This window comes from Homo sapiens, chromosome 14 (genome assembly GCF_000001405.40).
Source record: "Homo sapiens chromosome 14, GRCh38.p14 Primary Assembly".
Taxonomy (NCBI): Eukaryota; Metazoa; Chordata; class Mammalia; order Primates; family Hominidae; genus Homo; species Homo sapiens.
The window spans coordinates 74926271-74941118 of NC_000014.9; the positions used below are offsets into that span (position 1 = coordinate 74926271).

Here is a 14848-nt window from a genome sequence, read left to right on the forward strand (position 1 = left end):
TTTTGTTTTGTTCTTTTTTTGAGACCGAGTCTCGCTCTTTCCCCCAGACTGGAGTGCAATGGTGCAATATCGGCTCACTGCAACCTTCACCTCCTGGGTTCAAGCGATTCTTCTGCCTCAGCATCCCAAGTAGCTGGGATTACAGGTGCACACCATCACTCCTGGCTAAGTCTTGTATTTTTAGTAGAGATGGGGTTTCACCATGTTGGCCAGGCTGGTCTCGAACTCCTGACCTCAAGTGATCCACCCGCCTAGGCATCCCAAAGTGCTGGAATTACAGGCATGAGCCACCACGCCCAGCCCCTGCCCCTGTTCTGAGGCGTTGCCCTGATGTGACTTTCTTGTGAGACCTACTCTGACCATACCTCACCCACAACATCTTCATTCCCCCTCATTCCCTCTGCTCTGCTTCTTTTCCATTGTACTTAACACTGTTAGCTACATAACTTACTATTGATGCTATACAACTTATTTGTTTTTTCTTTGACATGGTGTCTCATTCTTTTACCCAGCTGGAGTACAGTGGTGCAATCACAGCTCACTGCAGTCTCAATATCCTGGGCTCAAGCAACTCCTTCCATCTTAGCCTCCTGAGTAGCTGAGAGTATGGGCACATGCCATCATGTCAGCTAATTTTTTTTTTTTTTTTTTAGAGACGGGGGTCTCACTATGTTGCCCAGGCTGGTCTTGAACTCCTGGGCTCAAGCAATCCTCCTGCTTTGGCCTCCCATAGCGCTAGGATTACAGGAACGATCCACCATGCCTGGCCTGTTTTTATGTTTATTTCATTTCCTACCCCCAGTGTAAGATCCACATGGGCAAGGGTTTTTTTGTCTGCTTTATTCATCACTGTATCCCAAGTGCCTAGGGCAGCATCTGGCATATAGTATTATTCAATAAATATTTGCTGAATGAATGAGTGAACACTAAAGGATGAGAAGGAATTAACCAGGAAAAGTGGTTAGAGAGGGCAGTGGAAGGAAATGTTCGGGGAGGAGAAACAATATGTATAAATGCCTTAACAAACTAAGGGAGAAAAAACAGCATTTGCTCATCAAACAGATGGCATAAAGTCATTTGATAAAAGTCAACATGCATTCACGATAAAGACAACCTCTTAACTTGCTTAACAAACTGAACAAACTCATGAACGTACTTCTTAACTTGATAAGGTGTTATCTACCAGAAACTTAGAGCAAACACCATTTGTAATGGTGCAGCATTGGAAACATTGCCACGGTCCGACTGTTTTTCTGGTATCTGGAAGGGTCCTACTCCTCTACCGCTTTAGAAGTTAGGCTTGGCCATGGCACTTGCTTTGAAATGCTAGTGAACAGAATACATGTTGCTTTAGGGTGGAAGCTCCCAAAGCTTGTTCCTCCTGCCTTAGTGATCCTGGAAGTAGCTGACCATGGAGGTGCAGAGCCTCAATTAGCCTGGATCCCTGAGAAACAATAAATGGATGCCTCCTCAGCCCTAAGACTTGTGTTGGACATGAAATGTGAGTGAGAAATAAATTTCTATTGTGTTAAGCCACTAGATTTTGGGATCGTTTGTTACTGTAATATACCTTGACCTATCCTGAATGTTACATCCAATGCAGTCAGAAATGAATCAATGCTTCTACTCTTCTACAATGTACTGGAAGTTACAACTAATGCAATAAAAATTTAAAGACAAGCAAGAGGTTTAAGGATTGGAAAGGAAGAGGCCAAATTGCCATAGTTTCTGGTGATGCGATCATCCACCTGGAAAACTCAACAGCAACAATTGGTGAGCCCAGCGATCCTCTTGCCTTGGCCTCCCAAAGTGCTGGGATTACAGGTGGTCCTTGAGTGTTTTGACTGCTATCCATCACATGAGGTTAAGTGTGGAATTTTTCACTGGTGGTGTCATGTCTGTGCTCAAAATATTTCAGATTTTTGAGCATTTTGGGTTTTGGATTTTCAGATTAGGGATGCTCAACCTGCACACATAATCTATCAATTCTACTTCTAGATATTTAATCTAGGAAAATGCTTGCCCAGATACATAAGAATATATATGGATATTTATGGCAACATTGCTTGCAATATTAAGAAATGGAATAAATTCCAAACATAATATCATAAGTAATATCAATATGAAGTTAATAACATGTGGGATATTCATATATTAAATTATTATTTTCAGCATTTTAAAACAATGAAACTGAACCAAATCTATGTGCATGAACATGTACAGATCTCAAAAGCATATTCCTGAGTAAAAAAAGTCAGCTCCTAAGTGCCACCTACAATATGATGCCATTTATATTTATATCTATATTTTAAAAACTTTTATTCTTTTATTAATATTTAGGCCTATGTAAACATCGTACTATTATTATTATTATTATTTTGAGACAGAGTTTTGCTCTTGTCGCCCAGGCTAGAGTGCAATGGCGTGATTTTGGCTCACTGCAACCTCTGCCTCCGGGGTTCAAGAGATTCTCCTGCCTCAGCCTCCCAAGTAGCTGGAATTACAGGCTCCCGCCACCACGCCCAGCTAATATTTGTATTATTTTTAGTAGAAACAGGGTTTCACCATATTGGCCAGGCTGGTCTCGAACTCCTGACCTCAGGTGATCCATCTGCCTCGGCCTCCCAAAGTGCTGGGATTACAGACTTAAGCCACCTCACCCGGCCTGTATTATTTTATATATATGAAATATTTCATAGCAAAACAAACTAAAAAGGAGAATAAATGTAAATAAAAAATATCCACACCCTCTAAAGGGTGTGCAGGGAAGTCTGTATCCTATTCTGTGCCTCCAGGACCCACTACCAGGTGCAGTTATCAATTTACTGGGGCTCAGTCAATCAATTCTTCCCATTTTTCCTGGGCATATTATACACTGTATTGAACCTTGATTTTTTTCATTAAACAATATATCTACCCAAAGGAAACCTGTATGCTCAATGGCAACAAATCCAAACTGTGTCAGTGAAACATACGATGTGTGTTGAAAACCCAGGAAACAGAACACAGAGATGACAGGAAATAAAGCTGCATCTCATGCCCCAGCACAACTGCAGGGCATGGAAGCAGCAGGAAGAGCAAGTGCCCCATGTCTGTGGGTGCAGGAAGCGAATCTGTAGGTCCAGAAATGCAGGATTTGTGGGTTTTTGTTTTGTTTTGTTGAGACAAGTTCTTGCTTTGTCGTCCAGGCTGGAGTGCAGTGTCGCAATCTCAGTTCATTGCAGCCTCGACCTCCTGGGCTCAAGCCATCCTCCCACCTCAGCCTCCACAGTAGCTGGGACTATGCTCAGCTACTTTTTAAACTTCTTTGTAGAGACGGGGGTCTTGTGATTTACCCAAGCTGGTCTCATACTCCTGGGCTCAAGTGATCCTCCCCACTCAGCCTCCTAAAGTGGCGAGATGACAGGCGTGAGCCACTGTACCTGGCCGCCATTCACATTTTCATGTTTCTGATCTGCTGGTTGTACTGGCTATCAGGACAGTGCAGCACTAATCTTCATGCAGCTGCATTGCTGCTGTATTTGCATCCTACTAGAACAGCTGCAATAATTTCACCATCTCTATTTTCTTTACAAAGTACTTGCCTGACACCAGAATTTTAAACAGACTTTCTGACTAAGTGGTCTTAAACATTCCATGGCCACCTTTCTTAGTGTCCAGGTAATTCAGAATAGGTAATAGGGGAATTGTCAAAATCAAATGAAGTTTAAAGTGCTTCATGGTTTTTAGAAAATACTTCACGAAAGGAAGGCAGAATGTTTACAAATCTAATAATTAAATTTGAAGGACAATCTAAAAAGATCTACAAATTCATAGCTTAACTGGCCTAAGACCGAGTGAGCCATCACACACTGTGGGCACCACAGCACGACCTCAAGAACTCAGGAGGAATTTCCTTCCCCATGTCACAGAGAGCTTTGTGACAGGGACTGGCAGGAAACCATGGTCCCACCTAGTAAGATTCTGAGATGTTTTCCACTCCTTTTTTTTTTTTTTTGAGATGGAGTCTTGCTCTGTTGCCCAGGCTGGAGTGCAGTGGTGCGATCTTGGCTCACTGCAACCTCTGCCTCCTGGGTTCAAGCAATTCTCCTGCTTCAGCCTCCTGAGCAGCTGGGATTACAGGTGTGCACCACCACACCCTGCTAATTTTTGTATTTTTAGTACAGACGGGTTTCACCATGTTGGTCAGGCTGGTCTCGAACTCCTGACCCTGTGATCCTCCTGCCTCAGCCTCCCAAAGTGCTGGCATTACAGGTGTGAGCCACCGCACCCAGCCGTTTTTCACTCTTAAGGGATATTCATTTCAGTAGCTAAAGTAACTGAAATAATTTCTGGGTTGCTTCTTGGTAAACAACATAGACTTGAAAGAAGCAGTTCTCTAACTTTTTGGTCTCATCAACACAGAGCCTTTGTTTATCTGCGTTATTTCTATTGATATTTAGTGTATTATAAAAGACATTTAAGGATATTTCATTATTTAAAAATAACAAGAAATCCAACATATGGTAACATGAATGTTTTATGAAAATATTTTAAAAGTATTTGGTGACAGGAGTAGAATTATTTTCCTTTTTGAAAACCTCTTTAATGCTGACCTTAGGGATAGAAGACCGCTGTGCTGTCATATCTGCTTCTGTGTTCAGTCTGCTGTGATGAGTTGTTCTGGTTGAAGTAGGTGAAGAAAATCCGGCCTCACACAGAGATGTAGCTGGAAAAGGGAGGAGTAATTTAACAGCCACTTCAGACATTCTGGGTGTGTGTTTTCTTTTGTTTTGTTTGAGACAGTCTCACTCTGTTGCCCAGGTTGGAGAGCAGTGACATGATCTCGGCTCACTGTAACCTCCGCCTCCCAGGTTTAAGCGATTCTCCTGCCTCAGCCTCCTGAGTAGCTGGGATTACAGGCATGTGCCACCACGCCTGGCTAATTTTTGTTATTTTTAGTAGAGACGGGGTTTTGCCATGTTGCCCAGGCTGGTCTTGAGCTCCTGGCCTCAAGCAATCCGCCCGCCTCAGCCTCCTAAAGTGCTGGGATTACAGACTTGAGCCACTGTGCCTGGCTTTACTGAAATCCTAAAACCACACTATTAGCTATTATTATTAATCTTTACAGATGATAAAACTGAGACTCTGGGAGGTTAAGTAACTTGATTAAGCTCACACAGCTAGGAACTGGGAGTGCTAGGAATCCAACCCTAGCAGTTTGGCTCCAGAACCCAAGTTTGGACCACTATACTGATTACATTAAGCCCCTAACAGAGGAGTTCTCCAGGGAGTGGGGGAAGGGACCTCTTGGGGAATAGAGTGGGCAGCGGTCAGTTAGAGCTTTGTAACACCTGTAGTTGTTCTATGCTTTTAAACAGTAAAGTATATTGGCATATAATTTCTAATGTTAAAATTACTTTTAAAAAATTATATATGGAATAGCTAGGTGTGGTGGCTCAAACCTGTAGTCCCAGCTACTTGAGAGGCTGAGGCAAGAGGCTGAGGTGAGAGGCTGAGGCGAGAGGCTGAAGCGGGAGGCTGAGGTGAGAGGCTGAGGTGGGAGGCTGAGGCAAGAGGCTGAAGTGGGATGCTGAGGCGAGAGGCTAAGGCAGGAGGCTGAGGCAAGAGGCTGAAGCGGGAGGCTGAGGCGAGAGGCTGAGGTGGGAGGATCTCTGAAGTTTGCATTCAGCTTGGGCAATGTCGCAAGCCCTTGTTTTCTTGTTTTCTTTTTTTTTTTTTTTTTTTGAGATAGAATCTCGCTCTGTCACCCAGACTGGAGTGCAGTGGTGCAATCTCGGCTCACTGGAACCTCTGCTTCCTGGGTTCAAGTGATTCTCCTGCCTCAGCCTCCCCAGTAGCTGGGATTACAGGTGCGCAACACCATGCCTGGCTAATTTTTGTATTTTTAGTAGAGACAGGATTTCGCCATGTTGGCCAGGCTGGTCTTGAACTCCTGACCTCAAGTGATCCACCCGCCTCAGCCTCCCAAAGTACTGGGTTTACAGGCATGAGCCACAGCGCCCAGCCTGTAAAACCTTGTTTTCTTTAAAAAAAAAATTATTGAATATAGTTTTGGGATTATGTACTTATTTTTCATAATATAGTGAGGAGAGCTGTAAGGGAGTAGACGGAGTTCCCTAAGTCTCTAGTGGTGGACCAGACCCAACGTGATGCAGAGGAGTGTTTGGGAGGCTTTCCTGAGGAAGCACCTTTTAGCTGAGTTACAGATGATGTGTGTCTGTTAGTCAACAGAGTTGAGGGATTGGGTGTGGGAGGGGGAAGGGATTTCCGGGCAGAGGAAACAGTGTGAGCAAAGGTCCTGAGGGGCACTACAGATTCCAGAAACTGAGAAAAAGACAAGTGTGTTGGCCCTTAGAGAAAGAGGCGGCATGGCAAGAGACAGGGCTGCAAAGGAGGACAGGGATCAGACTTCATGGGATCTTCCAGGCTGAGGAAAGGACTGGGAGCATATTCTAAGAGCCACACGTGCTGCTGAGTAAGATGAAAATGGAAAATGCTGATCGGCACCAGGGAGGTCCCTAGAGTCACTTTAGCAGGGGCTGCGTTACAGTAGTGAGTGGAACTGCCAAGAAAGAGACTGAAAGTGTACACATCTCTTTCAAAACATGTTGCTCTAAAGCACAAGACCGGGATAGAAAGGCACCTGGAGGAAGAATGGGTTTGATTTTTTTTGCTGCCATTCCTATTTCTGTGATGGGAAAAACCTCTTCACACAGAGTCATATCCACAAGGATGTTTATCACAGTATTATTTATTAAAACAACACCAAAAAAAGAGGACCTACATATCCAACAATAGACCCTTTAATCAAATTATGGGATATCCAAATGATGCAATACAACTCAAGACTTAAAAATCATATTGTAGCAGAAGGGAAATACAACTCCGTATGTATGAGACAGAGTTTTGCTCTTCTTGTCCAGGCTGGAGTGCAGTGGTGTGATGTCAGCTCACTGCAACCTCCGCCTCCCAGGTTCAAGCAATTCTCCTGCCTCAGCCTCCTGAGTAGCTGGGATTACAGGCACCCGCCACCATGCCCGGCTAATTTTTCTTTCTTTCTTTTCTTTTTTTTTTTTTAGTAGAGATGGGGTCTCACCATGTTGGCCAGGCTGGTCTTGAACTCCTGACCTCAGGTGATCCACCCACCTCGGCCTCTCAAAGTGCTGGGATTACAGGCATGAGCCACCACACCTGGCCAGTGTATCATATGTTAAGTTTAGGAAGCAAGTTATAAAATAACAAATGTATTACGATCCCATTTTGGTATGGGGAGTTGAGTATATGTGACAGGGTGTCTCCTTCATCTGTTCCTTTCTTCCCTGTCTTCATCCTTGGTGGTGATGGTGGTAGTGGGGTCTTTGGATATAATGCACCATAATAAAAATTATGCCAAGAGATGTGATCCACTTTATCAAAAAGGAAATGTATTTGTTTTGTAGGTGCTCCACGTGGGGACACACGAGGGTCCACCACAATCTCCCAGGAGGGAGCTGGGTCCTGGGAGGAGGGCAGAGGGATCAGAGAGAGGGAGACCAGGGGGAGGAGTTTCTGGCCCCAATTTTGTACCAAAGCTGGAAAAAACAAAGTGTTGCTCATTCTTTGGATTTTGGAAAATTTGTGATAGATTATAAGACAGATTTTTTGGGGGGGTATTGAAGAAAGGTGTAACCACTCATTATCTGAAACCACAGGCTGAATTTACTGCATGCTTAAGCAAGGGACAGCTGTACTTGCAAGGCACAGCGTATCTCTGAGCAAAGCAGAGAATTAATCCCATACAGGTTTTGGGAAGTGTGTGGTTTAAGGATGGGTCAACGTGTGCTGGTTGATCTTTGGCACAGTCATTGGCATGCAGCTGTTGCCGACTGGTTATTTTCAGAAGCGTGGGGCTAGTCCTGATTGAGTGCATAGTTTCAGCAGCACAGTTACTGAAACACATGGCCATATAAACCAGGTTTATAATTGGTTCTAAGAGTCACTTGATATCATAGCCACATACCAATTAGTCTTTTCCTAAGAGGGTGGGCATGTTTTATTCTAGGGGGAAGAAGGGGAAGGGCAGATAGCTCTATATACACACAAAGAGGAAGGTCTCAGTAGAGCAGCCTGTGTGTCTTCTCCGCTGCTGGAGCTCATCTTGACTGGCCAGGGCTGGTTCCTAAGAAGGATCCCAGGCACCCAGAGCCTCCTGGGTTTGGATGTGAGAGGAAAGTCCTGTGACCTCCTTTGCCTCTCCCATGTCTGGAGAGAAGCTGTATTTCCGGCTAATCCAGGAGCGACAGCTCCAGGGTGCACCCCAGGTTCTGACATGGGGACTTGCAGCACCCCCCCAGGTTGGACCCTGACGTGCCTGGCACCCCTTGTGAACCCAAGACCTCAACTTCAGCTTCTCCGCACAGCAGCCATGGCCAGCTGTCAGCCGCCACCTCCTCCGAGAGGCTGGAATTCCTCGGGCAGATTTCTCACCCTCGCAGGACTTCTTTCCAGCGTGTCTGGCAAGTGAGAGGGCTTCGCAGGCCCCAGGAGAGGCTTGTGGCAGAGAGGGCTTTGAAAGGGAGAGGAGGAGGGAGGGTACTGCTGTTACAGCCCAAGCCTTAGGCCCCCGCTGAGGACGTCAGGTGGCCCATGTCTGGAAACACCCAGCGCTGTGGCCCACGTGGTGACTCTTGGGTGGCCCAGGCTGGGTGTGTGGGGGCAGGGCCTCAGAGAAGAGAGAAGGAGAAGGGGAAGACCGAGGGCTGGGGGTGGCGGTGGAGAGGCCACTGAGGACAGGGAGTGGAACAACCTTGCAGAGAGTGGTGCAGGGAGAAGTTACTAGAATGGCAGCACCCTCTCCCGCCACCCAGGCGACACCTCTCGGGGAACCCACCTCTGCGAGGGAGCCCTCAACTTCCTCCCGGCCTGACCTGCCTGCTCGAGGGTTTCCACGGTCACAAAGTTACCTCAGGGACTAGAAAAGAACCATCTTTTTGGCCTGGAGCCTCTGAGGTGGGGCCTCCTCGGCCTCAGTCACAGCCAAGGTCAGGGGGAAGGAGAGCGCCCCAGGCTTCCCTCAGGAAAAGGAAGGGTCCGGCTTCTTTAGGGAAACAGCTGCTGGGATCTGGTGCTGACAGACGGCCATCTTTCCACACCAAGGCTCTGGCCTGTCACCACCCTGTCTGGGGCCTCGAGTTCCCACCAGAGTTTTCATAGGGGCCTCTTCTGCTGACCCACCCAATCCACCCGCAGATGGTCTGGCCCGCCTCTCAGACTGGGAGCGGACCCAGCTCACTTCCCTACCGCCCCACTGCCCTTCTCTCTCTCCATCCTCAAGAGGAGGTGAGGTGGTGAGGGGCAGTGAGCACAGGCTTCGGATTCAATTCCACGTCAGTCACTTATGGTACAGTTTTAAATTCTGACTCGCTTAACTTACATGGCTTTGGACCAGCCTGGGCCTCAGCTCCTTCATTTGTAAGATGAGGAGGTGGAAATGGATTATTTGTAAACTTTCTTTCAGCCCTAAATTCCATGATCATATCATATTATTGTTTAATTTCTAATTTTTTTTTTTTAGAGACAGGGTCTCACTCTGTTGCCCAGGCTGGAGTGCAGTGACATCATAGCTTTCTGCAGCCTCAAACTCCTGGGATCAAGCAATCCTCCTGCCTCAGTCTCCCAAGTAGCTGGGACTACAGGTGTGCACCACCATACCTGGCTAATTTTTTTTTTTAATTTTAATTTAAGATGGCATCTCACCCTGTCACCCAAGCCGGAGTGTAGTGGCGCGATCTCAGCTCAGTGCAACCTGCACCTCCCAGGCTCAAGAGATTCTCCAGCCTCAGCCTCCTGAGTAGCTGGGGCTTGTAGCCCCATGCCCAGCAAATTTTTGTATTTCTTGTAGAGATGGGATTTCACCATGTTGCCCAGGCCAGTCTCAAACACCTGGGCTCAAGTGATTCACCTGCCTCGGCCTCCCAAAGTGGTGGGATTACGGCGTGAGCCACCATGCTCGGCCATAATTTAAAATTTTTTTGTAAAGACCTCAATTCATTGCCAAAGCAATCCTCTCGCTTTGGCCTCCCAAAGTGTTGAGATTACAGGCGTGAGCCACTGTGCCCGGCCACGTTATTGTTTAAAAAACATGCCTCTTGCAGCCTAGCACAGCCCTAACTCCCCAGCATGGCACCCGGGGCCCAGCCCGCCTACCAGCCTTAGCCATCACCCTCTGATTCACCTGCCTTAAGCATCAGCCAAACTGAACCGCTGGAGAGTCCCTGTACAGGTAGGGGTTTTGCCAGCTCTGGGGTCTTTGTTAATGGGTTGCCTCCACCTAGAATGGCTTCCCCAGTCATCTCCCCAGACCCAAATCTTGCCTACTCTTCAAGTCACAGCTCAAATGCCACCAGCTTTGCAAAGCCAGTTCTGATGTTCCCCAGCTGCAGGTCATCTCAGGTGGCTTTAGCAGCTCTTCAGCTGCATTCTTTTAGCTACATGGCCTGCTTTCCTTCTATTCTAATCACCTGTGTATATCTGATTCCGCTGACGAACTTTTTAAGGTCAGCGACAATGTCTTATTTCTCTCTGCGTAACCCTAGCTAATCGAGGTGCTCCCCTGGGTTCAGTCTCTGCCTAGTGTCTCACTGAGTGGGCGTCTCTCAAAGAACATTCGGGCCTGCAATGTTAGGGAGCATGACAGTGCTTCCTCAAAGCCCTTCTCAAACTGTCTTATATCAATAGAGACTCCACAGCAAAACCCCAAACTCCTTCTCTAGTCCCAGCCCCGAGGCCTTTTATTTCCCTCTGCCTACCTGCTTGCTTTCTCTTTCCTAGCTGTTAGGTAGACCAGCTTAGCCCTCCAGCTGTGATCTCTCTCCTTATTCCCCTTATTTATTGCAGAATAGAATTTTCTTTAGTAGGTAGGGAAGACTTTTGCTTGCTAATATACTTTGCCCTGTCATACATGTATCTACTACAAAATACCTAGGCCTTGTAGACTCAAAAAATGCTCATGAGTGAATAAATGATCAGGGTTACCAGCCCACGTGCATGATTAAGACCAAACAATCTACTTCTCTCTATCCTTGTTACTTCTCCCTAGACCAAACCACCATAATTGGTTGCCTGGCTTCTCCACAGCCTTTGAAGTGGTATTTGTACTCTAAGTTTTACACTCCTAGAGACCATTTTCCACATAGTGGGTGGAGTGATTGTTCAAAAATGTACCTAATGGCTGGGTGTGGTGGCTCACGCCTGTAATCCTAACACTTTGGGAGGCTGAGGTGGGTGGATCACTTGAGGTCAGGAGTTTGAGACCAGCCTGGCCAACATGGCAAAACCCTGTCTCTAATAAAAACACAAAAATTAGCCAGGTGTGGTGGTGTGCACCTGTAGTCCTAGCTACTCAGGAGGCTGAGGCATGAGAATCGCTTGAACCCGGCAGGTGGAGGCTGCAGTGAGCGGAGATTGTGCCACTGCACTCTAGCATGGGTGACAGAGTGAAACCCTGTCTCAAAAAGAAAAAAATGTATCTAATGTCATTTCATTCCCCTGTTTGAAACTCTGCAGTGGTTTATCTCACATTATAACAAAATTTGAACTCCTTACCCTGACTTGCAAAGCCCTTTATGGTCTGGCCCCTGGCTACTTCCAACATCACATCCCATATCCCCCCTCCCTGCCCATCATGCTCCAGCCACACTGGGGTTCCTTCCAGCACTTTCCACCAGCTGTGCCCTCTGGAGTGCTCTTATCCCTGATCTTTACATGACCAACTCCTTCTTGTCCTTCAAACTTTACCATCAATGTCATCTCCACAGAGATGCCATCCATAACCTCCTGACCTAGAGTACCTTCCCCCCAACGCTATCTCTTCACCTTTCCTTATTTTCTGTTCTGGTTTCTTATTGCTGCATAACAAACTACCTCAAAACAATTTGTTATTATAGTATTTTATGTTTCTGTGCATCAAGGAAATCAAACGGCACAGTGGATACAGCTTGTCTTTGCTCTGTAAGATCTGGGGCATCTGCTAAGATAACTGTAATGGCTGCGGGTTGGAATAGCTTGGGGTTGGCTGAGTCTCTCTCTCTCTCTCTTTTTCCACATCTCTATACGGCCAGCTTGAGCTTCCTTCCAACATGGTGACCTCAGGGTAGTTGGACATCTTACATGATAGCATAGGGTTCCAACAGACCAAGGCAGAAGCTGCCAGTCCTCTTGAAAGCTAGACTTGAAACAAGTATAGGGTCTCTTCTGCTATAGTCTACTGATCAACGCAGACCCAGGCCAATTCAGATTCAAACAGAGGGAAGACACTTCACCTCTTAAGAGGAGGAATGTAAAATAATTCAAGAGCATCTCTAATATGAGAGAACGCATTTTGGCAGCAAGACATTTTCTTATTAATGTATTTGTTTATATGGGTAACTTGCTTATTGAGCAAGTTTTTTTCCCCCTTCCATCATTGCTTCTAGATGAACTATGTTGGTTCTCCTTTTTCTGTCCCGTAACAGTATCTTGGGCAGATCTTCTAGTATTCCTGTTGCTTTAGCTTATTAAAGGCCCAGCCCCATCTAGGCTGGTCCATCTAACCAAGACTAACCATTTCCCTTCCCCAGGCAGGGTCTGGATTTGGCCCAGGGGAGTGGGGAGGGGTGTAGTTTGCCCCTGTACCCCCACTCCTCTCTCTCTCTCCTCCTCCTTTTCTCTCCCCTTTTCTCTTCTTTCACACAGATGGGGAGGGAGAGCTTTCAGGAAAGTCCCTGTCAGCTGTGGCCATTTCTTCTCTGGCTATGAATGTTCCCGGCATGATGGCGTTCAGATGCTAACTCTCTTGTGGGTTCACCACAGGGCCACCTCGCACCACTGTTCCCTGATGTGAGAGGTCCCTTCAGCTCTATATCTCTCACCCCACCACTCAGCCACTGCCCCAACCTCCACCCAACAGCCTACCGACTGTGGGTCTGCACAGCTGCAGGCCTCCCTCTTGGGAGGACATGGACAAGACAGCTCAAGGACATGCACCTTCCGCCATGTCCACCTGACCCATGGGCAACGACTGCTGGGTGCCCCAAGGAGTCCCTGCCCTGTCTGTCTCTGCCTCTTCAATCCTGCCCTCCCCCAACCTCCCTGTCCAGATGGCGCGTGGGCTGATCTCAACAGCAAATCCAGATCCAGGGAGAGGAGGGGAGGGAGTCAGCACCCCAGGACTCCAGTGACCCATCTCCCTCTCTCTTCCTTCCCCTGTCCTGGTCTTCTGCTTATGGAGACTGAGGAAGGGGGTGCTGGGAGATTTGGGGGCATAGCAGAATTGCTTTAACCATCTCTTAATAAATCCTGTAGGCAAATGGGCCTAGTCTCAAATGGTTCCTTTGTTTTAGAATATGGGGTACTCAAGGCCCTTTTTCCTTAGCTCTGAGTCCGGCCACCCATTCGAGCAGCAGAAAAGGCCCACCCAGTACCCTCTGGCACTAGAGCATGGGCTGTCTCTCCCCTCGCATGTGTGGTCCACGAGAGCAGGGTCCTGTGTGTCTGTCCCCACTGGATCCTGGATGCCTAGTCAGTGTCTAGGACACAGAGGGTGCTCCACAAATAGATGACAAGCAAATCCCTCTAGGACCTAAATGGCTGGAACGGCTGCCAATATAGTCAAGTAGGCCAGCTGGCTCCTTCCTACCCATTCCTGCTGCGAGGCTCCTGCCCACGGATGTGGAGTTTTGCTTCTGGCTTCCAGGAGCTTTTCTGGTTTCTGTCTTGCTCTCTACAGGGGTCACTGGCCTGGGTCGGGAGGCTGCCCGCCATGTGGGTGACCTTATGGAGCCAAAAGCCTTGAAGATGCTACCGGGCCTGGGTTGGGGTCCTCAGGGCTGAGCTAGAGGCCTGGCCAGTGGGAGGGGATGGGTGCTCTTCCCAGTTCACAGTGGGTCAAAGGCAACAGCTCAGAACAGCTGCAGCTAAAGAGAGGAGAGGCAGGAGAGGAAGTGCATTTCTTTGGCAAAGTATGTCTCCTGGGGCTGACTCACACCCGTCTATGACCACAGCCAGAAGCACATTCTGACCAGCGTGTCCTGCAGAGTCCCCAGGCCTCGGTGAACAGGGCACCAAGGACAGCTGCCTCAGCAGGGCCACCCCACTCCGCTGGACATCCCCAGCTCCCCTCAAAGCCCCAGGCAGGCCCCTGTGCCCCTGGGTCCCTGTGGGTTTCTCCTCAGCAGCCTCAAATGAGGAAGTGAGGCTGAGGAGAGAATGGGGGAACTTCTCTTCCCCCAATACATATAGCAGCATATAACATCAAAGACACAGACACACAGACACACACACACACACACACACACACACACACACACACACACACCCCTTGCAGGTCAGAAGCAGAGTGGAGTTTGATAGTAAGTGGTTTGGATTAAAAAAAAAATAGGCCTGGCATGGTGGCTCATGCCTGTCATCCCAGCACTTTGGGAGGCTGAGGCGGGTGGATCACTTGAGGTCAGGAGTTCAAGACCAGCTTGGTCAACATGGTGAAACCCTGTCTCTACTAAAAATACAAAAATTAGCCGGGCATGGTGGCGCACGCCTGTAATCCCAGCTACTCAGAAGGCTGAGGCAGGAGAATCGCTTGAACCTGGGAGGTGGAGGTTGCAGTGAGCCGAGATTGTGGCACTGCACTCCAGCCTGGGCGACAGAAGGAGACTCCGTCTCAAAAAAAAAACCATTAAAAAATAATAAGAAGATTTATTTTTTTCCTGCCAAAGCACTGAGGAGGAAGACGGAAGGAACTGGGGGGTAAAAGGCAGAGAAATCCGGGCAGCATCTGCTGGTCCTTGCGTCTGTTCAGCAGCCCGAGCAGGCTATACGTGCTGCCGTTCAG

The 14848-nt window shown here is 47.7% G+C and overlaps 1 annotated feature.

Annotated features, from left to right (window-relative positions):
* Window positions 8170–8737: an enhancer, noted in NCBI's record as "H3K4me1 hESC enhancer chr14:75401143-75401710 (GRCh37/hg19 assembly coordinates)". NCBI's record gives its function as "activates a minimal SCP1, AML or CMV promoter by ChIP-STARR-seq in primed H9 embryonic stem cells {active_cell/tissue: H9 hESC(primed)}" and the evidence as "EXISTENCE:reporter gene assay evidence [ECO:0000049][PMID:30033119]".